Here is a 27,548-nt window from a genome sequence, read left to right as displayed (position 1 = left end):
CTTATTTTTTTCTCTTGCCTAATTGCTCTGACTAGGACTCCCAATACTATCTGTGTTGAATAGAAATGGTGAAAGTGAGCATCCTTGTTTAATTTCAGATTTTAGAGAAAAGGCTCTCAATTTTTCCCTTTTCACTATGATGTTAGCTCTGGGTTTGTCATATATGGCCTTTACTGTTTTGTGAAGTGTTTCTACTATACACGGTTTATTGAGAGGTTTTTTTTTTTTAATCATAAAGGGATGTTGAATTTTATTGAATGATTTTTCAGCATCTACTAAAGTGACCATATGGTTTTTGTTCTTGGTTTCGTTAATGTGATGTATCACATTTACTGATATATTTATGTTGAATCATCCTTGCATCCCCAGGATAAATCCCACTTGATCATGATGAATGATCTTTTTAATGTGTTGCTGAATTCAGTTTGCTAGTATGTTCCTGAGGATTTTTACATCTATGTTCATGAAGGATATTAACTTCTAGTTTTCTTTGTGTGTGTGTATGTGTGTGTCCTTGTCGGGTTTTAGTATCAGGTTAATGCTGGTCTTGTAGAGTAAGTTTGGAAGTATTCTCTCCTCTTCATTTTTTTGTTGACTTTGAGTAGAATTGATATTAGTTCTTCAAATGTTTGGTGGAATTCAGCAGTGAAGCCCTCAGGTTCTGGGTTTTTCTTTGATGAAAGATTTTATTACTGCTTCAATCTCATTATGTATTACTGGTCTGTTCTGGTTTTCTATTTCTTCATAGTTGAATTTTGGTATGTTGCATGTGCCCAGAAGTTTATCCATTTCTTCTGTTAATAGGCTTTCCATTTTGTTGGCGTGTAGATGTTTATAATAGACTCTACTGATACTTTGTATTTCTGTGGTATCAATTTTAGTGTCTCCCTTTTTATTTCTGGTTTTATTTATTTGGGTCTCTTCTCTTTTTTTTCTTATTTAGTCTAGCTAAAGGTTTGCCAGTTTTTGCTTATCTTTTTTAAAAACAACTTTTTGTTTTGCTGATTTTTCTTTTTTTGGTTTCAATTTCAGTTATTTTTGCTCCAATCTTTATAATTTCATTTATTCTACAAATCTGGGGTTTGGTTTGTTCTACCTTTTATATTTCCTAGAAGTGCAGTGTTAGATTGTTTATTTGATGGCTTTCTGCTTTTCTGATGTAGGCATTTATTGTTATAAAATTCCCTCTTTGAACTGATTTTCCTGTATCTCATAGGTTTTAATGTGTTGTATTTTTATTTTCATTTGTCTCAAGAAATTTTAACATTTCTCTTTGAATTTCTTCATTGATCCATTTCTTATTGAGGGGTCTGCTGTTTAATATCCATGGATTTGTACAGTTTCCAACATTCCTTCTGTTATTAATTGCTAGTTTTATTCCATTGTGATCAGAAAAGACGATATGATTTTGATTTTTAAAAATTTCTTAAGACTTGTTTTGTGACCTAATATGTAGTCTATACTGGAGACTCTTCCATGTGCTGTTGAGGAAATGTTCTGTAAATGTCTGCAGCAGTTGGGTGGAAAATTCTGTAAATGTCTTTTTTTTAATCCATTTTTTATTTGTGTTTTTTAATTGTATCATTGTATTTTTTTTTAATTTTTTTAGTATTTATTGATCATTCTTGGGTGTTTCTTGGAGAGGGGGATTTGGCAGGGTCATAGGACAATAGTGGAGGGAAGGTCAGCAGATAAACATGTGAACAAAGGTCTCTGGTTTTCCTAGGCAGAGGGCCCTGCCGCCTTCCGCAGTGTTTGTGTCCCTGGGTACTTGAGATTAGGGAGTGGTGATGACTCTTAACGAGTATGCTGCCTTCAAGCATCTATTTAACAAAGCACATCTTGCACCACCCTTAATCCATTTAACCCTTAGTGGACACAGCACATGTTTCAGAGAGCACGGGGTTGGGGGTAAGGTTATAGATTAACAGCATCCCAAGGCAGAATAATTTTTCTTAGTACAGAACAAAATGGAGTCTCCTATGTCTACTTCTTTCTACACAGACACAGTAACAATCTGATCTGTCTTTCTTTTCCCCACATTTCCCCCTTTTCTATTCGACAAAACTGCCATCGTCATCATGGCCCGTTCTCAATGAGCTGTTGGGTACACCTCCCAGACGGGGCGGCAGCCGGGCAGAGGGGCTCCTCACTTCTCGGACAGGGTGGCTGGTCAGAGACGCTCCTCACCTCCCAGACGGGGTGGCAGCGGGGCAGAGACACTCCTCAGTTCCCAGACGGGGTAGCGGCTGGGCAGAGGTGCTCTTCACATTTCAGATGGGGCGGCGGGGCAGAGGCGCTCCCCACATCTCAGACGATGGGTGGCCCAGCAGAGACGCTCCTCACTTCCTAGACGGGATGACGGCCAGGAAGAGGCGCTCCTCACTTTCCAGACTGGGCGGCCGGGCAGAGGGGCTCCTCACATCCCAGACGATGGGCGGCCAGGCAGAGACGCTCCTCACTTCCTAGACGGGGTGGCGGCCGGGCAGAGGCTGCAATCTTGGCACTTTGGGAGGCCAAGGCAGGCGGCTGGGATGTGGAGGTTGTAGCGAGCCGAGATCACGCCACTGCACTCCAGCCTGGGCAACATTGAGCACTGAGTGAGCGAGACTCCGTCTGCAATCCCGGCACCTTGGGAGGCCGAGGCTGGCAGATCACTCGCATTTAGGAGCTGGAGACCAGCCCGGCCAACACGGCGAAACCCCGTCTCCACCAAAAAAATACGAAAACCAGTCAGGCGTGGCGGCGCGCACCTGCAATCCCAGGCACTGGGCAGGCTGAGGCAGGAGAATCAGGCAGGGAGGTTGCAGTGAGCCGAGATGGCGGCAGTACAGTCCAGCCTCGGCTGGGCATCAGAGGGGGAGGGGGAGGGGGAAGGGGATGGGGAGAGGGAGAGGGAGAGCAAATGTCTTGTTAGGTCTATTTGGTCTAGAGGACAGTTTACCTTGAATATTTCTTTGCTGATTTTCTGTCTGGATTATGTGTCCATTCTGAAAGTGGAATGTTGAAATCTACTACTATTATTGCATTGCAGTCAGTCTCTCCCTTTTGGTCTGTTAATTTTTGTTTTTTTATATTTGGGTGCTATAGTGTTGGGTGCAGGTATATTTACAATTATTATATTATCTTTCTGTATTTATTTGTTATATAACATTCTTTGTCTCTCTTTTTACAGTTCTTAAAGTCAACATAAACTAATATAAGTGTAACTATTCCTGCTCTTTTATGGTTTCCATTTGCATGAGATATCCTTTTCTATCTCTTCACTTTCAGTCTGTGTGTGTCTTTATAGGTGAAGTGAGTTTCTTGAAGACAGCGTACAGTTGAATCTTGTTTTCTTTTAAATCCATTTAGCCATTCTGTGTCTTTTAATTGGAGAATTTAACCCATTTGCATTCAAAGTTATTATTGATAGGAAAGAGTTTACTGCTGCCATTTTCTTACTTGTGTTCTGATTGTTTTGTAAATCCTTCCTTCCTTTTTTACTGTCTTCCTTTGCGGTTAACTGATTTTCTTTGGTAGTATGTTTCGATTCTATGCTATTTTTAGTGTATCTATTGATTCTGTGCTATTTTTAGTGTATTTACTTTGCTTTGTGGCCACCACGAGGCTTACAAAAAACATCTTTTAGTTATAAGAGGTTATTTTAAACTGATAGTGACTTAACTTTGAACACAACCAAAAGAAAAATAAGAAAAAAACTGCACTTTAACAGCATCCCCTTCACCACATTTTTGACTCTTTGATGCTTCAATTTGAATCTTCTTATATTGCCTCTTAGCCAATTATTGTAGTTATTATTTTAAAATAGTTTGTCTTTTAGTCTGCATGCTGAACACATAGTGGTTTAAGTGCTTCCATTCCAGTATTAGACTATTCTGAATGTGTCTGTTTTCTTGTTTTTCCAAGTCAGTTTAATATCTTTAGATGTTTTCTTGTTACATGTTAGCATTCATTTCTTTCTTGCTGATTGAAAAACTCCCTTTAGCATTTTGTGTAAGACAGGTCTGGTGTTGATGAATAACCCCAGCTTTGATTTGTCTGGGAAAATCTTTATCTTTCCTTCATTTTTGAAGAATAGTGAAGTTGGGTATGTATTCTTAGTTGTCAGTCTCTCCTTTCCACCCCCAACCCCTAAACTTGGAATATAGCATCCTACTCTCTTCTGGCCTTCAGGGTTTTTGTTGAGAAATCCATTGAAAGCCGTATTGGGGCTCCAGTGAATATGATATGTGTCTTTTCTCTTGCTGCTTTGAGTATTCTTTTTTTGTCTTTCATTTTTGCTAATTTGATTAGTGTGTGCCTTGGGGATTTCCCCTTTGGGTTAAATTTGATTGATTACTTCTTCCTGTGCGTGGATGGTATAATTTTTCTTGGGATTTGAGAAATTTTCAGTCATTTTTTAAAAATATGCTTTGTGGGCCTTTTTCTGTCTTGGGAATTTCTGTTATGTGGAGATTCATTCACTTGCTGATGTCCTATTAAGTCTTTTTTTTTTTTTTTTTACTTTTATTTTGGGTTTGGGGGTACATGTGAAGGTTTGTTGCATAGGTAACATCATTTAGCTACTACTTACAAGTGAGAACCTGTGGTCTTTGGTTTTCTGTTCCTGTGTTAGTTTTCTAAGGATAATAGCCTCCATCTCCATCCATGTTCCCATAAAAGACATGATCTCATTCTTTTATGGCTGCATAGTATTCCATGGTATATATGTATCACATTGTCTTTATCCAGTTTGTCATTGGTGAACATTTAGCTGATTGATGTCTTTGCTATTGTGGATAGTGCTGCAGTGAATATTCATGTACATGTGTCTTTAGGGTAGAATGATTTATATTCCTTTGGGTATACACCTGGTAATGGGATTTGTGGGTTGAATGGTAGTTCTGTTTTCAACTCTTTGAGGAATGGCCATACTGCCTTCCACAATGGTTGAACTAATTTACACTCCCACAGACAGTGTATAAGTGTTCCATTTTCTCCACACCCTTGCCAGCATCTGTTATTTTTTGACTTTTTACTAATAGCCATTCTGACTGGTGTGAGATGGTATCTCATTGTTGTTTTAATTTATATTTCTCTAATGATCAGCAATATTGAGCTTTTTTTCATATGCTTGTTGCCACATGTGTGTCTTCTTTTAAGAAGTGTCTGTCCATGTCCTTTCCAACTTTTTAATGGGGTAGTTTTTCTCTTGTAAATTTATTTATGTTCCTTATAGATGCTGGATATTAGACCTTTGTTACATGCATAGTTTGCGAATATTTTTTCCCATTCTGTAGGTTGTGTGTTTACTCTGTTGATAGTTTCTTTTGCTGTGCAGAAGCTCTTAAGTTTCATTATAGCCCACTTGTCAACTTTTGTTTTTGTTGTGATTGCTTTTGGTGTCTTTGTCATGAAATCATTGCCTGTTCCTATGTCCAGGATGGTAATGCTTAGATTGTCTTCCAGGGTTTTTATAGTTATAGGTTTTACATTTAAGTCTTTAATTATTCTTGAGTTGATTTTTCTTTTTATTTTAAGGAAGGGATTCAGCTTCAGTCTTATGCATACGGCTAGCCAGTTATTCCAACACCATTCATTGAATAGGGAGTCTTTTCCCTGTTGCTTATTTTTGTCATCTTTGTCAAAGATCAGGTGGTTATAAATGTGTAGCCTTATTTCTGGGCTTTCTATACTGTTTCATTGGTCTATGTGTCTGTTTTTGTACCAGTACCAGGCTGTTTTGGTTAATATAGCCCTGTAGTATAGTTTGAAGTTGAGTAAGGTGATTCTTCCAGCTTTGTTCTCTTTACTTTGGATTGCTTGGGGTATTCAGGCTCTGTTTTGGTTTCATATGAATATTGAAATAGTTTTTTCTAATTGTGTGAAAAATATCATTGGCAGTTTGGTAGGTATAGCATTGAATTTATAAATTGCTTTGGCCATTTTAATGATATTGGTTCTTCCAATCCATGAGCATGGGATGTTTTTCCATTTGTTTGTGTCTTCTCTCATTTCTTCAAGCACTCTTTTGTAATTTTCATTGTAGAGACTTTTTACCTCCGTGGTTAGCTGTATTCCTAGGTATATTATGTATTTTATTCTTTTTGTGGCATTGTGAATGGATTGCTTTCTGATTGGGCTCTTGGCTTGGCTGTTGTTGGTGTACAGGAATACTAGTGATTTTAGTACATTGATTTTACATCCTAAAATTTTGCTGAAGTTTTTTATCAGCTGAAGGAGCTTTGGGGCCAAAACTGTGGGGTTTTCTAGATATAGAATCATGTCTGCAAACAGAGAAAGTTTGACTTCCTCTTTTCTTATTCGGATGTCCTTTATTTCTGTCTCTTGCCTGATTGCTCTGGCTAGGACTTCCAATACAGTGGTGAATAGGAGTGGTGAGAGGGAATTCTTGTCTTGTTTTGTTTTTCAAGGGAAATGCTTCTGGCTTTTACCCATTCAGCATAATATTGGTGGTGGGTTTGTTATAGATGGCTCTTATTATTTTGAGGTATGGTCCTTTAATGCCTGGTTTATCGAGAGTTTTTAACATGAAGGGGTGTTGAATTTTATTGAAAGCCTTTTTTTGCATCTACTGAGATAATCATGTGGTTTTTGTCTTTAGTTCTGTTTATGTGATGAATTGCATTCATTGATTTGTGTAGGTTGAACCAACCTTGCATTCTGGGGATGACGTCTACTTGATCGTGGTGGATTAGCTTTTTGATGTGCTGCTGGATTCAGTTTGCCAGTATTTTGTTGAGGATTTTTGCAACAATGTTCATCAAGTATATTGGCCTAAAGTTTTCTTTTTTTGTTGTTTTGTCTGTTCCAGGTTTTGGTGTCAGGATGGTGCTGGCCTCATAGAATGCGTTGGGGAGGAGTCCCTCCTCCTCAATTTTTTGAAATAGTTTCAGTAGGAATGGTAGCAGCTCTTCTGTGTACATCTGGTAGAATTTGGCTGTCAATCCATCAGGCCCTGGAGTTTTTTTGTTTGTTAGGCTATTTATTACTGATTCAGTTTTGGAGTTTGTTATTGGTCTGTTCATGAAATAAATTTCTTCCTTGTTCAGCCTTGGCAGGATGTATGTGTCCAGGAATTAATCCATCTCTTCTAGGTGTTCTAGTTTGTATGCATAGGGGTGTTCATAGGAGTTTCTGATGGTTATTTTTATTTCTGTGGGGTCAGTGGTAACATTCCCATAGTCATTTCTAATTGTGTTTATTTGGATCTTCTCTCTTTCTTCTTTATTAGTTTAGCTAGTGGCCTATCTGTCTTTTTAGTTTTTTTTTTTTTTCCAAAAAACAAACTCCTGGATTCACTGATCTTTTGAATGGCTTTTTGTGTCTCAGTTTCCTTCATTTCAGCTCTCGTTTTGGTTATTTCTTCTCTTCTGCTAGCTTTGAGGTTGATTTGTTCTTGCTTCTCTAAGTCTTTCAGTTGTGATGTTAGGTTGTTAATTTGAGATTTTTCCAACTTTTTGATGTGGATATTTAGTGCTCTGTATAATTTCCCCCTTAACACTGCCTTAGCTATGTCCCAGAGATTCTGGTATGTTGTATCTTTGTTTTCATTAGTTTTAAAGAACTTCCTGATTTCTGCCTTAATTTCATTATTTACCCAAAAGTCATTCAGGAGCATGTTGTTTAATTTCCATGTAATTACATGATTTTGAATGATATTCTTAGTCTTGCCTTCTATTTTTATTACACTGTGGTACAACAGTGTGTTTGGTATGATTTCGGTTCTTTTGCCTTTGCTGAAGATTGTTTTTTGTCCAATTATGTGGTCAATTTTAGAGTATGTTCTATGTGGCAATGAGATGAATGTATATTCTGTTGTTTTCCCTATAAATCTTGTAAGCTTTCTTCACTCATTTTCTTTTTCCTTTTTCCTTCTGTGAGTAATTTTATATGTTCTGTCTTTAGGCTCACTAATTCTTTCCTATGTTTTGTCAAGTCTGCTGTTGAAACTTTCAAAAGAGTTTTTCAGTTCTATTATTGTATTATCTTTTCTAAGATTTCTATTTGGTTTTTTATTTATTTCAATTTCCTTGTCAAATTTCTCACTTTGTTCCTGGATTGTTTTCCAAATTTCTTTTAGTTTTCTATCCATGTTTGCTTGTGATTTTCTGAAATTTGTTCTTTTTTTTTTTTTTTGAGAAGGAGTCTCACTCTGTCGCCCAGGCTGGAGTGCAGTGGCGCGATCTTGGCTCACTGCAAGCTCCGCCTCCTGGGTTCTGACCATTCTCCTGCCTCAGCCTCCTGAGTAGCTGGGACTACAGGTGCCCACCACCACGCCCAGCTAATTTTTTGTATTTTTAGTAGAGACGGGGTTTCACTGTGTTAGCCAGGATGGTCTTGATGTCCTGACCTCGTGATCCACCCGCCTCGGCCTCCCAAAGTGCTGGGATTACAGGCATGAGCCACTGCGCCTGGCCTGATTTTCTGAAATTCTTTGAAAGTATTATTCTGAATTCTCTGATATTTCACAGTTTGTCAGCTCTTCTGAGTCTATTGGTAGTTTCTTTCAGTGGTGTCATATTCCCCTGAGTTTTCACAATCCTTGCATCTTTATGTTGGTGGCTGCACATTTGAGGAGACATCCACTTTCTCTATTTTATGCACGTATTCTTTGGTGGTATCAGACCTTTACTACTTAGCATCAGAAGTTAAATGCTGGCCTGTTGTTACTTCCCATTCTGGGGAAGACTTATAGTGAGCATTAGAACTAAAACATTGCAGTGGAACAAACTCATTGCCCTGCCAATTTTTTCTGGTCTGGGGAAGATTTATAGTTGACTCCAGAACTTAAATGCTTCTCTGAAACAAAATCACTGCCTGCCACTGTTTTCTGGTCTGGGGAAGACTTATAGTGAGAATTGGAAGTTAAACATTACCTTTGAACTACCTTGCTGACCTGCCATTGTTTCCTAGTGTAAGGAAGACTTAAGCAGGCACCAGAACTTAATCTTAACCTTTTAGTTGTTTCTGGGTCAGGTCAAGGCTCCATAGAGCAGTTGGGGTTTGTGGAAAAATCTAGCCAGGAATTCGAGCCTTCCCACAGATTCTGCCCCACTGCTGCAATAGAGCAGCAAGCAGTCTCTTTAATATGGCTTCCTCACTGATTGAAGTACAGAGTAGCTGCCAAGATCCATGCACTAGTTCAAGTAATCAGTGCCGGCTGTTTGTCCCCAGTTCACCCCAGTTTGGTTCAGTATTCCTGGCATTCCCATTAGTTCCTGTGGGACAAGACCAGAATGGTCTTCCTGTGAAGATTCCCAGACTGTGGAGGAGATCTAATGTCTACAACCTCTTACCTTGGAAACTGAATCTAGAGAAATTTTGTGTGAGGGACATTATGATGGCTTGTGGGAGAGGGCAGCATAGTCCAACATGAATATTTCTCTTACCAGTCATGGCTTCTCTTGATTCTGGGGGCCCAGGGAGTTTCTCTGCTTTCCTCCAAGTTCTGGTGAACTCAGGATGGTATTCTTGTCTTTGGATAGTTTTTAGTTATATTTTTTGGCAGGAGTGATGCCAGACAATCTATTCCACCATCTTGCTGATGCCACTCCCAGTCTTTGCCTGTATAAATCTTTTGATCCTTTCAACTTCATGGCTAAGTTTGTAATAGCCTAATTGGACAGTGCATCTGTTTTTTATAACACTAAAGTTAATAAAATGAAAAAATATATTTTACTGGGATCTTTATCAGTGATGAAATGATTACAAATAAGAACAGAAATAATTACTTATGGTACTACTTTGATATCTTACCATTAATAGGGTGTCTATACATTTTAATTTGACCAAAACATTCTCACTTTTACCTGTTGTCCCAGTATCTTGTGTGACTTAGCATTTCCTGCTATCCCTTTCACTGTTAAATATGTCCCAGCTTTCATGCTAAGTTGAGTACTTTTTATGTAAACGATGTACCTTTTCTTTTTTTGTTTTCTGTACTTTAATTATTGAATATCATTGTAGTCACTATATATATTTTAAATGAGTGCTTTTTTGACAGTAATACCAAATTTAGCTTATAGATAGCTAGACTGTAATTATTTTAATATTCCAAGCAGCCTTTCTGATGTTTATTCCACACCACATCAACATTTCGAATAGCATTTTATGCACTTAGAACCAAACTTATTTTCTCTTTATTAAGAGACTCAGGGATGTTGGGATAAAGGGACAGAGCCTCTTATTTCACACTCCCGCCTCCTATGTTTAGACCTTCTTTGAGGGGAGGACAATAGAATGAGCTGATGGGCATAAAGCTGCATAGATACATTATGGGTCTAGTATAGTGGAAGGGTTCTGTGTTGAGAGTCAGGTCTGGTTCTAACTCATATTCATAATGGAAAAAAAAATTCTCTATGGGCCTGGTTTGCCTGATCCAGCTTTGTGCAGATTAAATAAATTAAAAATTGAAAGTGGTTGAGTAATTTAACTAAATTGAATACATTATGAGACATGGTAAAAAAATAAATAGAAAGTACATGACCACTAAAACTGCAGTTGGCTTAAATAAACCTCTTCATTCTCATAAGTAATAAAGAAAATGCTAATTAAGACATACTATTTTTTAATATATTGAAAAAGTAAATTAGTTTAAATATTACCAAGCGTAATTTTAAATTAATAATACCAAGATGCCTAGGGTGCAGTGCATAAACACTCTAAAATGCTATTGTTGAGAATATAAATTGGTACAACCTTCCTGAAAGCCTGTGGTTATCTATACTGTGAACCTTAAAAATATCCCTATCTTTTGACCTAGTAATCTATTCCTTAGTTAGCATAATATCAGTGTCAAAACTGAAAAAAAAAAACTCTCTAAAAACATATTAATCTCACTTTTGAATATTGTAAAAAACTAAATATTAAGCAGGAGAATCTAGTAGCATATTTAAAATATTGTACATCATAATCACATGGATTTTATTCCAGGAGTGCAAAGATGGTTTGATATTAGGAGCACTATTATTAATAATATAAATTACTATACTGATAAATCAAAAAAGAAAAATTATTTGTGATTCTTTATATACTAGTTAGAGTAAGCCTAAGTTGCTGTAAGAGGGAACCCCATAATGCAGTGGAGAAATGAAATAAGAAAGTTTATTTCTGTTTTGCGTAAGAATCCAGATGTATTAGGATGGCCCAGGGCTAGGATCAAATGGTTCTCTTTCATGAGGTCACTTAGGAACCTAGGCTGACTAGTGAGATTCCTCAGTCATCCTCAACATACTGTCTCCATCTCTGCTTTAAAGGCTGCTCTTCTGATGGACACCATTTCTTAACCAGCAGGAAGAGAGGAAAAAGATGAGGAAGACAAATATTTCCTTTTAGGGAATTGCCATGGAAGTTGTGCATATCATTCTGACATTTTACTGGAGAAAACAGTCCCAGGGGCACACCTGGGGAAGCAGGGACCTATTTGCATGCACTGTGCTAAAAGTTGCAGGGAGACTATTTTGAAAAGAAATGAAGAACAGGTACTGGGGAACAGTTAACAGACTAATGGCACACACCCATTGCTTTCAGCATTTTGTGCTTAATTTTTGTACAATGGCCCTAGGCACTTAGGATATAGCAGTGAGCAAAATGGCATATATTCCTGTCCCCTCAGAGCTCATTCTAGTAGGAGAGATACATTGTTAGCCATGAACATGCTGCATAAGTAACTTATATAGAATTTTTTTAAGTGTCAAAGTGCTATTGAAAAGGAAATGATAGAGAAGATTCAGGGAGACTCTCGAGTACCAGGGCTGGTACCATTTATATAGTGTGGCCAAAGCTGGCTTCATCAAGAAGGTAACATTCAAACAAATTTGAAGGAGTCGAGTGAGGCATGTTGATATTCGGAGGAAGAAATTGCTGATAGAAGGAAGAGCTAGTGCAGAGACCCTAATGCAAGAGCATGGCTGGCATTGCTAGAGGACTTAAGGAAGCCAGTGTGACGAGAACATAGTGGACATGGGGGAGTTGGAAAAGACATTAGAGGCATTCCAAGGCCTGGTCATGTAGGGCCTTTGAGGCTGTTCCAATGACTTTGACTTTAACTCTGAGTAATGAGAGAGTAAGAGGGTATTATGCCATGAAGGGACATGATCTGACTTAGGCTTTAAAAGATCATTCTAGCTGCATGAGAACAAAGGTGGGAAACCAATGAGAAGGCAACTTTGGTAATCCAGATGAGAGGAAATGATGGTGGCTTAGACCAGAGTGGTAGCTGGGGAGGTGATCATATTCTGGATATATTTTTAAAATATACTTTAAGTAAGAGTAAATATGATTTTCTGATGGATTTGATAGGGGTCATGAGAGCCAGAAAGTAAGCCATAGATAAGCTTCGTGTGTTAGTCAGGGTTCTCTAGAGGGACAGAACTAATAGGATAGATGTATATATGAAGGGGAGTTTATTAAGGAGTATTGACTCACAAGGTGAAGTCCCACAATGGGCCTGTGGCAAGCTGAGGAGCAGGGAAGCCAGTCCAAGTCCTAAAACCTCAAAAGTAGGGAAGCCAACAGTGCAGCCTTCAGTCTGTGGCTGAAGACCTGAGAGCCCCTGGCAAGCCAGTGGTTTAAGTCCAAGACTCTAAAAGCTGAAGAACTTGGAGTCTGATGTTCAAGGGCAGGAAGCATCCAGCATGGCAGAAAGATGAAGGCCAGAAGACTCAGCAGGTCTGCTCTTTCCACCTTCTTCTGCCTGCTTTATTCTGTCCATGCAGGCAGCTGATTAGATGGTGCCCACCCAGATTGAGGGTTGGTCTGCCTCTCCCAGTCCACTGACTCAAATGTTAATCTCCTTTGCCAACACCCTCACAGACACACCCAGGGACAATACTTTGCATCCTTCATTCCAGTCAAGTTGACACTCAGTATTAATCATCATAGTTACACACAGGAAAACATGGAAAAAATATGCTAGTTCATTTCTCTGTGAGATGGGATATGTGAATTTTGAATTGTATTTTTCTGTATTTCGAAATGTTCTCTATTATGCACTTTGTAAGCTGAACAGTGATGCACAGAAGTCAACCTTTCGTCATACTGTTGCCTTGTCCCTAAGTCCTAGGGCATCTTTAGCCTGCTTCCTATTTTCTGCCCCTGGGAGACCAGAATCACAAAGAAGGTGTGCTGGCCCTTTAGCCCTGGCATCACATTAGCTGACATCAGGAACTGAGCCAGGCAGTGTGGTTGTGATGTCACTATCTCACCTCACCCCCACCTAAGAGATTGTGGTGGGGAATCTCAGACACTCTAACCCTCTGGGCCCAAGTCACCTTTCTATCAGGGGAGGGAGGCTGTGCTCTCACTGGCTTCTTGTTAGAAGTTCTGCCTGCCCTACAGCCTGCACTGAGGGCTCTCATCACTGCTTCTGAGATCTTAATGGGGGTCAACGAAGATGTGGGCTTCTCTGAGTTTAGACCATCCATCTGCCAAGGAAAACCAAGCCCTGAGACTGATAGAGATGAGAGAAGAGAATGGTAATGTCCCCAAGACAGAGCAGGCAGGAAGTTTGAAGCCTCTGAGGGATACAGGAAAATCTAACCTCAAAGAGAAGAAGGTAAGAACAAGACAACCTCTGTCCTCCTGACATAGGGATCTTGCTGAAAAAATAAATCTCATTGCTGAGCTGAGTTAGGCATTGGTAATTCATCTCAAGGAGATGAATTTTGATAGGGCAGGGATGATGGAACAAACTGCAATCACATTGAACAGAAATAAGGGCCATCATCTAGATATGCTGGACTGCATGCCCTGGGAAATGCAGGGAGGTGTCTGACATCTGGGGGCAACAGGCAGAATCTGGCAGAACTTTCTGGAAGAGGTAGATTGTGAGCTAATGGCATTTTCTCCCTTGCTCAAAAGCTTACAAAGTGCTGTAGCCCAAGAAAAAGTGAAGTTGCCACAGCTTCCTAGTTGTCTGGCCAAAGATTTGCATAATTTCATTTCCCCTCTGTACCTTTCATTGTTTTTCTTTCTTATGTATTTATTTTAATTAATTAATTTTAAGTTATGATAACTATTTTTTTACTGTACAGTTCAGTGGTGTTAAGTACATTTAAATTGTTGTGCAACCATCACCACGATCCGTCTCGAGAATTTTTTTTTATTTTGTAAAACTAAACCTGTGCCCACTGAACAGTAACTCCCATTTTCTCTCCCTCTAGCCCCTGGCAAGCATCATTTACTTCCTGTATGTATTTGATGCTCTAGGGCAGGGGTCCCCAGCCCCTGGGCTGCAGACCCGTACCTGTCTGTGGCCTGTTAGGAACCAGGCTGCACAGCAGGAGGTGAGTGGCAGGTGAGCTACTTCCTGATGATCTGAGGTGGAACTGTTTCATCCCAAAACCATCCTTCTACCCTCATCCTGTGGAAATGTTGTCTTCCATGAAACCTGCACCAAAAAGGCTGAGGACCATTGCTCTAGGGTACCTGATATGAATGGAATTATATAGTAGTAGTTCTTTTATGACTGACTTATTTCACTTACCATAATGTCTTCAAGTTCATCCACATTGTAGCATGTGTCAGAATTTCCTGTTTTGTTCAAAATGAATAATATTCCATTGCATGTGTATACCACATTTTGTTCATCCATTCATCTGCCAATGGACAGACAGTTGGATTGCTTCCACCTTTTGTCACATTATGAATAATGTTTTTGTGAACATGGATGTGTAAATATCTGTTCTAGTTTCTGCTTTCAGTTCTTTGGGGTATATACTCAGAAGTAGGAATTGGTCGATATAATTCTGTTTTTAATTTTTCAGGGAACTGCCATATATTTTCCATAGCATCTGCATCATTTTACATTCCCATCGGCAGTGCACAAGGGTTCCAGTTTCTCCACATGATTGCCAACACTGTTTATAATAACCATTGTAATGGGTGTGAATTGATGTCTTCTACCTTTCTTAACTGTCTCTCCCACCACAGATAACAGTCTGTGCTGTACCCACTCCCAGACAACTCTGTTTTCCATAAATAGGCTGTAAACAATCTCCGTTTGTGGCTTCACACACATTTTCCCCTCTGCCTGGAAGACTTGGTAACTCATCTTTCTTCCTCAAAGATGTCCCTGCCTTCCTCCTTTCCACACCAACTCAGAAGCAGTCAAGCTCTTTCTTGTATTCCTCTAACTCTTCATTTATTCCTCTTTTTAAAACAACTATAACTTATATAGGTTATGTGCAGTTCTGCAAGTTTTGACAAACCATCACCACATCAAGATGAAGAACAGTTCCATCACCTCAAACATTTCTCCAGACCTTTGTCATCAGCTCCACTTCTTTTCTCATGTCCCAGCTCCTAGTAATCACTCATGTATTTTCTGTGACCATAGGTTCTCCTTTTCTGGAATGTCATGTAAATATTCAGTAGTTAGCTTTTTGAGTCTGGCTTCTTTCCCTTTGCATAATGCATTAGAGATTCACTCATGTTGTTGTGTGTCACTGTAATCTGTTCCTTTTTATTGCTTAGTAGTATTCCATTGTATGGGAGTACAAAACTTATCCATTCTCCAGCTGGGAAATATCTGGGTTGGTAAGCATTCACATAAAGATTTTGTGTGAATATGCACTTTAATTTAACTTGAGTAAATAGAAAGAAATGAGATTGTTGAGCTTTATGTTAAGTATATTTTTAAATTTTATTAGAAACTGCCAAACTGTCTCCCAAAGTAGCTACATAATTTTGCACTCCCACCAGCAGTGTATGAGAGTTCCAGTTAGGTTGCACCCTTCATATTGTGGAGTTAATAATGTTATTTTAGTCATCCAAATACACATTTCTCACCATTCATGCATTTCCCTAATGACTAATAATGTTGAGCACCTTTTCCTGTGTATATTTTGTCATCTGAATATCTTTTTTGGTGAAGTATCTATTGAAATCTTTTTCTGATTTTTTACTGCTATTTTCTAATTATTAAATTTTGAGAGTTATTTATGTATTCTGGACTCAAGTTGTTTATAAGATATGTGATTTGCAAACACTTTCTCCCAAATCAAAGAGCAGAGATTCTTAATTTTTATGAATTCTGACTTACCAGTTTACTCTTTTATAGATGATGTTTTTGGTGTTGTGTATAAAAAATCTTTGCCTGACTTAAGGTCACAAAGCTTTTCTCCTGTTTTCTTCTAGAATTTTACAGTTTCAGGTTTTACTTTTTGGTCTGTGGTCCATTTTGAGTAGATTTTTGTGGATGGTGCAATATATGGATTAAGATTCAATTGTTTCTGTATTGTTTGTTGAAAAGACTATCCTTTCTCCATTGAATTGCCTTTGCAGCTTTGTTGAAAATCATTTGACCACATATATGTGGCCTACTAGTGGACTTTCTGTTTTTCTTCTATTAATCTATATGTCTATCCTTTTACAATGCCACACTATCTTGATTACTGTAGCTTTTATAGTCAGTCTTAGAGATAGGTAGTATAAGTTGTCCAACACTGATCTTTTTCAAGATCATTTTGCCTATGATGGTTTCTTTGTTTTTCTTAGAATCAGCATAATGAATTCTACACAAAATCCTACCGAGATATTTTTAAATTTGTGTTTAATCTACATTAAGGTTGAAATCTTAATGAAATTGAGTTTTCTGATCCATGACCATGGAAGATCTTACCATTTATTTAGGTTTTCTTTAATTTCTTTCATCAGCATTTATAGTTTTCAGCATCTAGAGGTTGCACATATTTTGTTAGATGATATTGAATCATGATTTTATCTTCAATTCCCAATTGTTCTTTGCTAATATATAAATATAATAGATGTTTTAATGTTGATATTATACAGTGTGACCTTTCTAAACTCATTTATTAATTCTAGTCACTATTTTTGGTAGATTCCTTGGAATTTTTCTACATATATAATTAGCTGAATACCTGTTTCTTAATAGTTTTCCCTATGAAGGATTAATTTTAATTATGCCACATATGTCAACATATTTTATTTTTCACAGTGGTATATGTTATTAATAAACTGGTGAATTTTGGAAAATGACTCCTCAAAACAAATCTAACCTATGAAGAATCAAATGTACCAGGGAAAATACATGAGCATTTGTAATTTTTCAGTTTATAATCTGTCTTCTGTGTCTGTAGGTTCTGTACTCATGGGTTCAACCAACCGTGGATCAAAAATGTTTTTAAAAATATAAAAATAACAATATAACAATAAAAAGTAATACAAATGTAAAAACAATACAGTATAACAACCACTTACATAGCATTTACATTGTGTTAGGTATTTCAAATACTCTAGAGATGTTTTACAGTATACGAGAGAATGTTGATAGTTATATGCAAATACTCTGCCATTTTGTTTAAAGGTGCTGAGTATCTTTGGATTTTGGTATCACCGGAGTCCTGGAACCAATCCCCTGTGGGTACCTAAGGAAGACTGTACTTTGTTGTGTCCTACGCCATACATCTGATTTTTTTTTTATAACAACAATATAAACCAACATGGATAGGAAAAGTGATCTATGTTTTTAAATACCTATTTTTAAGATACAAATTATTCTTCATCCTACTGTAGTAGGATGTAGTATACTACATTACTCCCTGTAGTAATCATTCTTTTAAAAATAAAATGATATAGAAATATTTTAAAATAATATTATATATGCATGTATGCTAAATATTCCATTGAATTGGGAATTTTGACTACTTAAATATTTTAAAAATTTTGCAAATCATTTCTTTTTCAATATCAGACCAAAATATATTTTTCCCCACACATATTTTTTAAATTGGTTTTAAAAAAGCTTTTTAGAGCATTGTTTGTGATACCTTCTTAGTGAATTAGTGACATTTTAAACGTTTTTTTAAAGAAACAATATTAGGCCAGGCACGGTGGCTCATGCCTGTAATCCCAGCACTTTGGGAGGCTGAAGTGGGTGGATCACCTGAAGTCAGGAGTTCGAGAACAGCCTGGCCAACATGGCGAAACCTCATCTCTACTAAAAATGCAAAAATTAGCCGGGTGTGGTGGCACATGCCTGTAATCCCAGCTACTCAGGAGGCTGAGGGAGGAGAATTGCTTGAACCTGGGAAGCAGAGGTTGTGGTAAGCCGAGATCGCACCACTGTGCTCCAGCCTGGGCGACAGAGCAAGACTCCGTCTCAGAAAAAAAAAAAAAAAAAAAAAAAAAAATATATATATATATATATATATATATAATTATATATATATATATAATTATATATATAAGTTTAATAATTTGATAATTTTTTAAGTATTGGAAGCCCCAGATTGTGTAGAAAATCCCGTTAAGTTCCATGCATTATATTCCCCTTAAACAGATTTTATTTCCTTTAATTGGTTGGTTACATCAGTAGAGTATATTTTGAACTTTGTGTTCTACATATATGTATATATATACACATAGTATAATATAAACAAGCCTGAAATAGATGCCAAAAACAGTTACTAATATACAAACACATACATATTTCCACAATTTAGAGTACACTAATCAATTTCAGTAATTACATAGCCTGTATCACTGCACTTATGGCTAAAAACACTGGTTACCCAGCCAGGTGTAGAGCATTGTACAACATTTTTTGTTTTTTTTTTTCAGAATGTATTACAAATTATTATTTTAAAAAAGGGCTACATTTTAAGTGTGTGCAGATGTGAGTTTTGGCTTACATAACTGTTTTTAATATTCATCTATGGTATTTTCTTGGCAAAGAAAATGGACATTTGTTCCCATTGCATGACTTTAACAGATCAGTAGACATCCTAGGAATACTCTAAGGAAGCAACCCCGGGTCATGGAAAATATCTCATCAAACATCAGTATCTTTGAATCTTATTTGTGACAATTGCTTATGTTATTGTACATTTCATATTAATATTGAATGCGGAATTCTAACAGTTTTCAATGACCTTTTAAAGATTTATAATTTAGGCCTATATTTCTATAAATTTAGGCCTGTTATTTCTATGGATTCTGGTGTTTATTCAACCCCAACTACCTTATGAAGTTGAAGGAAGTATCATACATTTTACATTTTAGAGACTTCCTGAGAATAAGAAATTATCAGAATTGCCATACTTAGATTATAGCGAATGGCCCATTCAGTCCTGTATTTGATGTCTGATTTCACAGAGAGGCTGTAAAATGGATGATGTGAACTTACAAATCTCTAGTTTCCTTAAATAATTTATGAGTGAATGAGTCAACATGTATTTAACAAGCATTTACTGTATATTTAGGTCAGTGCTGGGGAAAATCATGAAAAGACATGTAACTTTGTCACTGCATTCTGGGAGCTTTTCTTATTGCAGTGACAATGAGAAATACAGGTAAAAAAAGAACTAGAAAACTATCTAGTCATGCATGGTAAACTTCTACTTTAGGGTACAATGCTGGGAGATCTGAGGTCTGTAGGAAGCGGGATCTTTTATGGAAGAGAGACAATATTTGAATTGGCACTAGATATGAAGAATTTTCTGAGGCAGTCAAAGGGGATAACACGAGGAAGCTATGAGCTTAGGAAAAATCGGAAGAATGTCAGACGGTAATTGTTTATGAAAATCCCACTTATTTTAAAAAGATTGAAGATGCCTTTTTAACATTTTTGTTTTTAAACTTTTATTTACACTTACTGAAATGTTACAAAAATAGTACAGGGAATTGCCATATGTCCTTCACCCAGCTTCCCCTAATGTTAACATCTTATTTATCTATAGTACAATTGCCAAAACCAGGAAATTAACAGTGGCACAATCTATTAAATAACTACAAATCTTATTTTAATTTCACTAGCTTTTCCATTAAAGTCCTTCTTGTTGTTCTAGGACCCAATGCAGGATCTCACAGTGCATTTAGTTGTTATATCTCTTTATTCTCCTTCAATCTATGACACCTCCCCTGTCTTTCCTGATCTTTCATGACTTTGACGCTTTTGAAGTGTGCTAGCTGCTGGTTATTTTGTAGAATTTTCTCACTTTGTTTATGATTAGATTGAGGTTATGCATTTCTGGCAAGAATAATGCAGAAGTGATATTGTGCCTTTCTCAGATGCATTATATCAAAGGATGCATGGTATCAAAATATCTTGTTATTGGTGATGCAAACATTGATCACTTTTTAAAGATGGTATCTGCCAGGTTTCTGTGCTGTAAAATTAATCATTTTTCATTTCTAAGAGGTAAAATATCTTGGGAGACATAGTTTGAGACTATGCACATATTCTTAGACTTTTGTTCACTAATTTTGTCTGAACCATTGGTGAATCTTACCTGAAATAATTACCTGTTCTTTTACTCACAGTTACTTTGTCATTTTTCTAGCTTTAAGTTATGCTGAGGGTGTGGGGTTTTTGGTTTTTATTTTTATTGTTTCATATCATTAGGAGAGAAAATATTGGAAGCTCAAGGTTGCTTTTAAAATGCAAGATTCTTTTAAAGTAAGGAATCACAGCTAACAGAAAATAAAAGAAAAAATAAGGTGAGGCTAGTGGTAGTGTTCATGAAAACACAACACACTCTAAGCGTTGGATAAATTCTGCTGAAGGACCTATATTTGACTCCACATTTTTCAGTAGCAAATGTCAATTTATAAAAAGCATCACAATTAAAACAAGATTCAGTGCAATAAACTTTTAAAAGTCATTATTTCAAAAATTAGTGGATTGAAATCTTTAGAGAAAAAATTACAAGAGATTCTCACCAAGAGGACAAGTGTAATATGGTTAATTAACATCTTCAGCAACATCCTCATGAAACATATTTTTTTCCCTTAGAATGGAGGTGTAATAGGTATTATTTTGATTTTAACTTTTCTAAAAATAGAGTGACTATTAGTGTGAGACATAATGTATTAAAAGTCAATCTGAACACCAGAAGTTCTTTAAGAAGTCACAAACTGTATTGTTTTGTGAAATCATTTTGTGATTAAACAAATTAATGAGCAGATAGTATTTACTTGAACAAAAATTGAATTCCTGCTATTTGAATGCTGCTGTGTTAAATAACCAAAACCCTGTTATAGAGTATTTTTTTCTGAAGTAGAAATCATTTAGTCTCAGACCATCTAAGGGGGTCCCCAAATAACCTTATTACAAGATAGTTTTATAATAATAAACTTGAGGAGAAAGTTATCACAAAATTGAGACTTGCCAAGAATGTACCTTATTTGTTGTAATTTTTGAAAGATTTTTGCTTCAGGTTTTGCTTCTGATGATCATTCACTGGAACTGAATCCTGAGGAAGGATGGTGGGGGAGTAGTAAGGAAGGGGCTGAGATATTATTTGCTGATGGTGCTATCTTTTGCTAGTTTTCTATTTCTAAAGAGCTAAAAATATTGAAGATTTTGATATCTTAAAATATGTGGCTTTTGGTGTTCTGCAACGAGGGCTTTGTTATTTTAACAAAAAGTTTTTAAAAACTCTTTTCATGGTAGTTAGGTAAAGGGCTGCCTACCTGAGGAAAGCAAAGTAAATATATTTGTATATTTAGAACCACTTCAAGTGAAAGAAAAATGTGTAATTACTTCCTTCACTGTAAGTCACATTGATATCTGACCTTCTGGGTTACTTTGTAAATTGCTACAAGACCAGTTTAGTTCAGTTAAACTTCATGTTCAAGTTTAGCATTTATTGAGTAATGACAGTGTAAACTGGGCAGCGTGTTAAGTGTTGACAATACGAAGAAGAAAAGGCGTCATAATTGATCAGGACCTAATGGATGAAAATATATTTTAACACAGGTTTTTAAAAAAATGCAAATTAGTTTATTTCACATAAAATATAGCTAAGAATAAAATAACCCCAACATAGTAGCTCAAATTAAGTAAAAAGCTTACCTGGGGTAAGCAAATTACGTTTGTCAGGCTCTGTAGAATTTCCATGTTATCTGCATTTACTAGGTTATAAGCTGAAAATAAAATACTATAAAAGTTTCCAGAGTGGTGTTTCAGCATGATTTTTAACTGCTCTGTACCATCTTTTTAAAATATGCCTCATATGGCCAAGGAATTAGACAGCACTTTGATAAAAAATCCAGATGTTGGAATTGGTTTATTTTTGAAGTACCCTGTGAGATCTAATGAATAGAGCCAAAACAAAATTTGTCCAATTTTTATAAACCTAATTGTTATTGTTCAAGAAGCTAGAAATAAATAGGACAGTTTTTGAAAGACAATTTTTGGAGGAATCAGATTTTTAAAAATCACAGGAACAGGAACTTGCATGAACATGAAGGGAATCTGATTTTTGCTTTGATCTGATCTTGCAAGAAGGAAAGAAGAAAGTTATTTAGGAAATGATTTTGTAATCTTTCTCCGTTAAATAGCTATTGGTTGTTTCAGTCCCATATTTTAGCACCTGTTTTGAAACGTTTTTAACTAGACAGTACTTTGATTTTGTTCTCATAACCTAAATGGTTTAATTAACCACCAAATTAAATGAAGAACATTAGTCAATATGCTGAATATCTATGTTTGTTAAATAATAAGTAGCAATCTCCTTATACCTGGGTTTTAAAAATAGCCCTTAATATTATACTTCATTTAAAATTAATTTTGTATAATATATACCTATATAAATCATCACTCATATTGTTTGTTCACACACAAAATATTTTTAAGTGAGGCAGAAAAAAACAAAGGTATGTAACATTTTAGTTTTTGCTTTCACAGATACTTATTTGGCAATCTCTGTATGCAAGTAACTGCTAGCATTTGCTGGAAGAAAGAATTATAAGCAACTGCCTCCACAATGTTTTTATGGAATTAGTTTAGGAATAATGAATAAACAAGTGCATTTTATACCAGGTGACTTCACCAGTGAATTCTACCAAACATTTAAGAAAGAAATAATGCCATTTCAACACAAACTGTTTCAGAAAATAAAAGAGAAACATTTTCCAAGTCACCTTATGAACTTATCATTATCCTGATAACAAAACTAGATATTAATATTGCAAGAGAAAAAGAACTACAGACTACAGACACACACAAAAAATCACTTAACAAAATATTAGCCAATCAAATCCATCAATATATAAAAAGGATAGCACATCAAGGTCAGGTAGGGTTTATCTCAGGAATGCAGAGTTGGTTCAAAATTTTTAAAAAATCAATGTAATTCACTATATTAAGACTAAAAAAGAAAAATCATATTATATCAGTAGATGTAGAAAAAGCATTAAAAGTTTAACACCTATTCAAAGAGCCAATAAAGAACAGATGGCATAAGAATGATACAAAAGACTTTGGGGACTCAGGAGAAAAAGGTGGGAAGGGGGTGGGGGATAAAAGACTACAAATTGGGTGCAGTGTATACTGCTCAGGTGATGGGTGCACCAGAATCTCACAGATCACCACTAAAGAACTTATTCATGTAACCAAACACCACCTGTTCCCCAATAACCTATGGGAATAAAAAATTAAAATTTTTTTAAAAAACAACTTAGACTGTAGTGATGGTTGTACAACTTTGTGAGTATACCAAAACTACTGAATTGGACATTTTAATGGGTGATTTTTATGGTATGTGATTTATATTTCAGCAAAAATGTTTTTTAAAAACTTTTTTAAAAAGAAAAGACACCAGAAAAAGAAAAACCAACAACTAAAATCATACTTAATGATGACAGACCATATTATTTTTTCCCAAGATTGGTAACAAGGAAAAGACATCTACTGTTACCACTTCTATTCACTTTATACTGGAGGTCGTAGGAAGTGCAACAAGGCAAGAAAAAGAAATAAAAGGCATACAAATCAGAAAGGAAGAAGTAAAACTGTCTATTTGCAGACATGTCATCTACATGAGATAAAAGGAATCTGCAAAAATACAAAACTACAAGAACCAATAACTAAAGTTAGCAAGGTCATGGTGTACCAAGTCCATATGCAAAATCAGTTATATTTTTATGTATTTGCAATGAATGTTGGAAATTGAATTTTTTAAAATCAGCCATTTACAACATCATCACAAATATGAAATACTTGTTTAACAGGATATATCCAAGATCTGTGTGCTGACAACTAAACTTTTGTGGCATAAAGTAAAGATGTAATTAAATGGAAGGAAATACCAAGTTCATGGGCAGGAAGACTCAACCTTGTAAGAATGTCATTTCTCCCAGATTGATCCTTAGATCAAGTGCAGTCCTCATCCAAACCTAAGCAGTTTTCTTGTTGAATTTGACAAGCTGGCTCTAAATTTCATTACAGCATTGTCAAATCAATTTTGGAAAAGAATGGAGTTGGGGAAATTACACCTCCTGATTTCATGACTAACCATAAAGCTATAGTAATCAAGAGAATGTGGTATTGGTGTAAAGATTAACATATCAACCAGTGGAACAAAATAAAGAGTCTTGAAATATACCTACACATTTATAATCAATCAATTTTTGACAAAAATGTGCTAAGATAATGAATGGGGGAAGGATAGTCTTTCCACAAATAGTTCTGAACAATTGGGTATTCACATGGAGATAAAGAAGACCTCAACTTTTACCTCACAGTTACACAAAAGTTACCTTGAAATTAATTGTAGACCTCAACATAAATGCTGCAAGTATAAAACCCTTGGAAGAAACATAGGGCACCTTAGTGATGTTGATTTAGACAAACATTTCTTCAATTGGACTCAGAAATTATGAACTATGGAAGAAAAAATTGATAAATTAGAAATCATCAGAAATAAAACTTTTACTCTTCAGAAGACACTCTTAAGAAAATAAAAAGACAAACTAGTCTTGGAGAAAATATTTGCAAAATATATACCTGAAAAAGTATTTTTATACAGCATATATAAAGAACTCAATAAGAAGAAAACATACTTTTAAAAATCAGAAAATGGTTTAATAGGCTCTTCACCACAGAAGATAGACTGTGGTAACTGAAATTTTAACTATGTTGGTAGGGCACTGAGTTTGTTTAAACTAAACCATGAAAACTGAAATTTGTGCCAATTGGAACTGCCTTTATTTAGCAAACATAATCACACAACTACTTTCAAAGTTTATTAATTTTATAGGTTTGCAATTCCTCTGAGGGTTTGACAGGGGACACATCCTGTGCTATCTTTGGGGAGAGCACCACTCTGTGTTGGACATCCAGTATTAAACACTCCTTGCCTTAATTATCCTTACTAATAATACAAATGGCCAACATTTATTGCACTGTGTCAAGCATTGTTGTAAAGGTTTATTGTCTCCTCACTACATCTCTGTAAATTAAGTGCTTTTATTCTTTTTGGATGCTTAAATCGTTTGAATAATTTGGAGAGACAAGATTCAAACAGTTTGACACCAGAACCTATGCTTTTAACCACTCACTCCATTATCCACATGGTAACAATATGCCTGATGACTGTGTTGAAAAGGGAAATAGAGAAAGCTATGAGAGCATACAGAGCAGACAGCTTGGTTTTGGGACCAAGAAAGGGCTTCACTGAGGAAATAATGCATACGCTTCTTCTTTGGTGAGAATATGTTAGACACACATTCCACAAGAGATGTGAGTTCTAGCAAAGCCCCTGTCAATAACTAGCTAAGCAGCCCTAGACAAGTAACCTCTCTGAACAGATTCTACTCTTGCCTTACATGGGTACTGTCTTTTTAAGCTTTCACTTTTCATGTCTTCTCATCTCTTTTCTATTATGAGAAAAGGGCACCTGTAGAGGATATAGGTATTTATTATCTGAGTTCAACTATGTTTGCAAATTCTTACTTTGTTTACTACCCTCTCTTCTAATTTTCACTCCCAACAGATTGATCAGGAAATACAAGATTTTAAAATAGAATTGTTTGTGTTAAACGTTGACATTGTCAATGTCATAAAAAAAATGAACGATCTTCTCTGTATTTTTTAAAGTCAGATACAACACAGATTCTTAATTCCACACTTCCTTGTGCTCAAATAAATTCCTGAAAATAATTGGTGTAAATTAAACAATAAGCAATATACAGGTGTATTGGCCTAATGGAAGAAGATACTGATTGTGTGCTTTCCATGTGTAAAGCACTTTCACGCACCTTATCTACTTTAATTCTCCCAACTCACTGAATGCTTTAGAATTGTAGGCGATACTGAGGCTCAGAGGAATTACACAACTGGCTCAGAGTTACACAGCTACAAGTTGCAGAACCAAGATTCTAGTGTGTCTTTCTCCAACACCTATGTCAGGAATGTTGGCTTCTCATGCTATTTCCAAGCAAATCCAACCATCTGTTGGCTCAGATAGGTCACTATGAGCAAAAGATAGAAGCAGCTCCTGTTTCACAAGATCATTGGTTTTATGAACCAATTCATGCTTGTTGCCACATTCCTCATTTCCCAACGAGGCTCTGATTGGGTTCCTAATTCCTCATTGCCCACACCTTTTGTTCACAAGTCCCCTTCCCTGTTTCTTGTTTCTACGTTGATGAGTTTCCTTGAGTATTTGGTACTTGACTGATCTTTCAGCTCTTATTGATCACTTTGGACTTGATCTTAGATCCATTTGACTTAAAGAATCCTCTCAGTATGCCTTTTCTCGAAGAATTATTGGTCCTTGCCCCTGGAGAGACACCAGACCTTTTCTTGGTGTTTCTGTATAGGATGACAAGAAGTGTAATCTTCCCATCATGCCCTGCTAGTCACCTGGATTCAGAGGAAATGCTCACTCATGCATACATTATCTTATTTGAAATAATGTTTTATTCTAGATTGTTTCTCTCTGCTTTAATTTGCACTGTAGATTTTTACTTCTGTATGAATATTTTTCTGCTCGATAATGGCTTTGGAAGAGCAATGTTTGCTTTTGTTTTCAATCCTAGAAAAGTTCAAAAAAAGCTTTTATTCTATATAAACTCTAAAGTGTATATATTTTAAACGTGTTACTTCTTTTTTTTAATTTTGCATTGGCATCTGTAGAAATTTTTGTCAGTTTAAACAACAATGCTTGAAAGTCACTTTGACTTTTCAAGCTGCCAGATTGCCTTATCATTGTCTTTGAGAGATTAGGGATGCTTTTTTAGAAGGTTGCCTTTTATGTAAATAAAACTGAAGTTTTGTTGTTCCATTGTAGTATTTCATTTTAATCTGGTTGTTTTCTTGTGGAGATAATATATAACAGGATCCAAAAATAGTTCAATAAAAGCCTTCAATTATAAACGGGCTGACTTGTTGGATTGCTTCAGGTGCCCTTGTCAGCTGCTTCAGACTGCAGATTTTGATGAATGTGGAAAAATTTTCTTGGAGCTCTTAGGGTCGTTTTGGAGCAATGAGGTTTAAGCCAATTCTATTCCTTTCTTAACTGAATCATCTACAAGGAGGAAAAGGCCATTTTCTTCCCCATGTAAATATCCTGGAGAAATATCCCAGAGAAAATGAAAAATCAAGGGAAAGTAAGATACTTTTCAGCAATAAAAAATTCTTTAGGCCGGGTGCGGTGGCTTACGCCTGTAATCCCAGCACTTTGGGAGGCCGAGGCGGGTGGATCATGAGGTCAGAAGATCAAGACCATCCTGGCTAACATGGTGAAACCCTGTCTCCACTAAAAATACAAAAAATTATCCAGGCGTGGTGGCGG

At 36.3% G+C, this 27,548-nt stretch overlaps 1 protein-coding gene across 23 annotated transcripts in view; it reads left to right on the top strand.

Moving 5' to 3' along the window:
• The window catches only part of CEP112 (centrosomal protein 112), a 556,597-nt gene that overhangs the window by 352,435 nt on the left and 176,614 nt on the right, over positions 1–27,548 (top strand). For 2 of the 23 annotated variants that reach the window (NR_126542.2, NM_001037325.3), the window contains exon 1: positions 13,248–13,561. The exons of the other annotated variants lie outside the window; for them this stretch is intronic. Coding sequence is in view for 1 of the 2 variants with exons in the window: in NM_001037325.3 (NP_001032402.1) it covers positions 13,400–13,561 (162 nt within the window). In the remaining variant the exon portion in view is untranslated. Of the gene's footprint in view, positions 1–13,247; positions 13,562–27,548 lie in introns of those variants that run through there. 23 annotated transcript variants of the gene reach the window in all.

The sequence above is a fragment of the Homo sapiens genome, chromosome 17 (assembly GCF_000001405.40).
Source record: "Homo sapiens chromosome 17, GRCh38.p14 Primary Assembly".
Lineage (NCBI taxonomy): Eukaryota > Metazoa > Chordata > Mammalia > Primates > Hominidae > Homo > Homo sapiens.
This window is presented reverse-complemented; position numbering and strand designations above follow the sequence as displayed.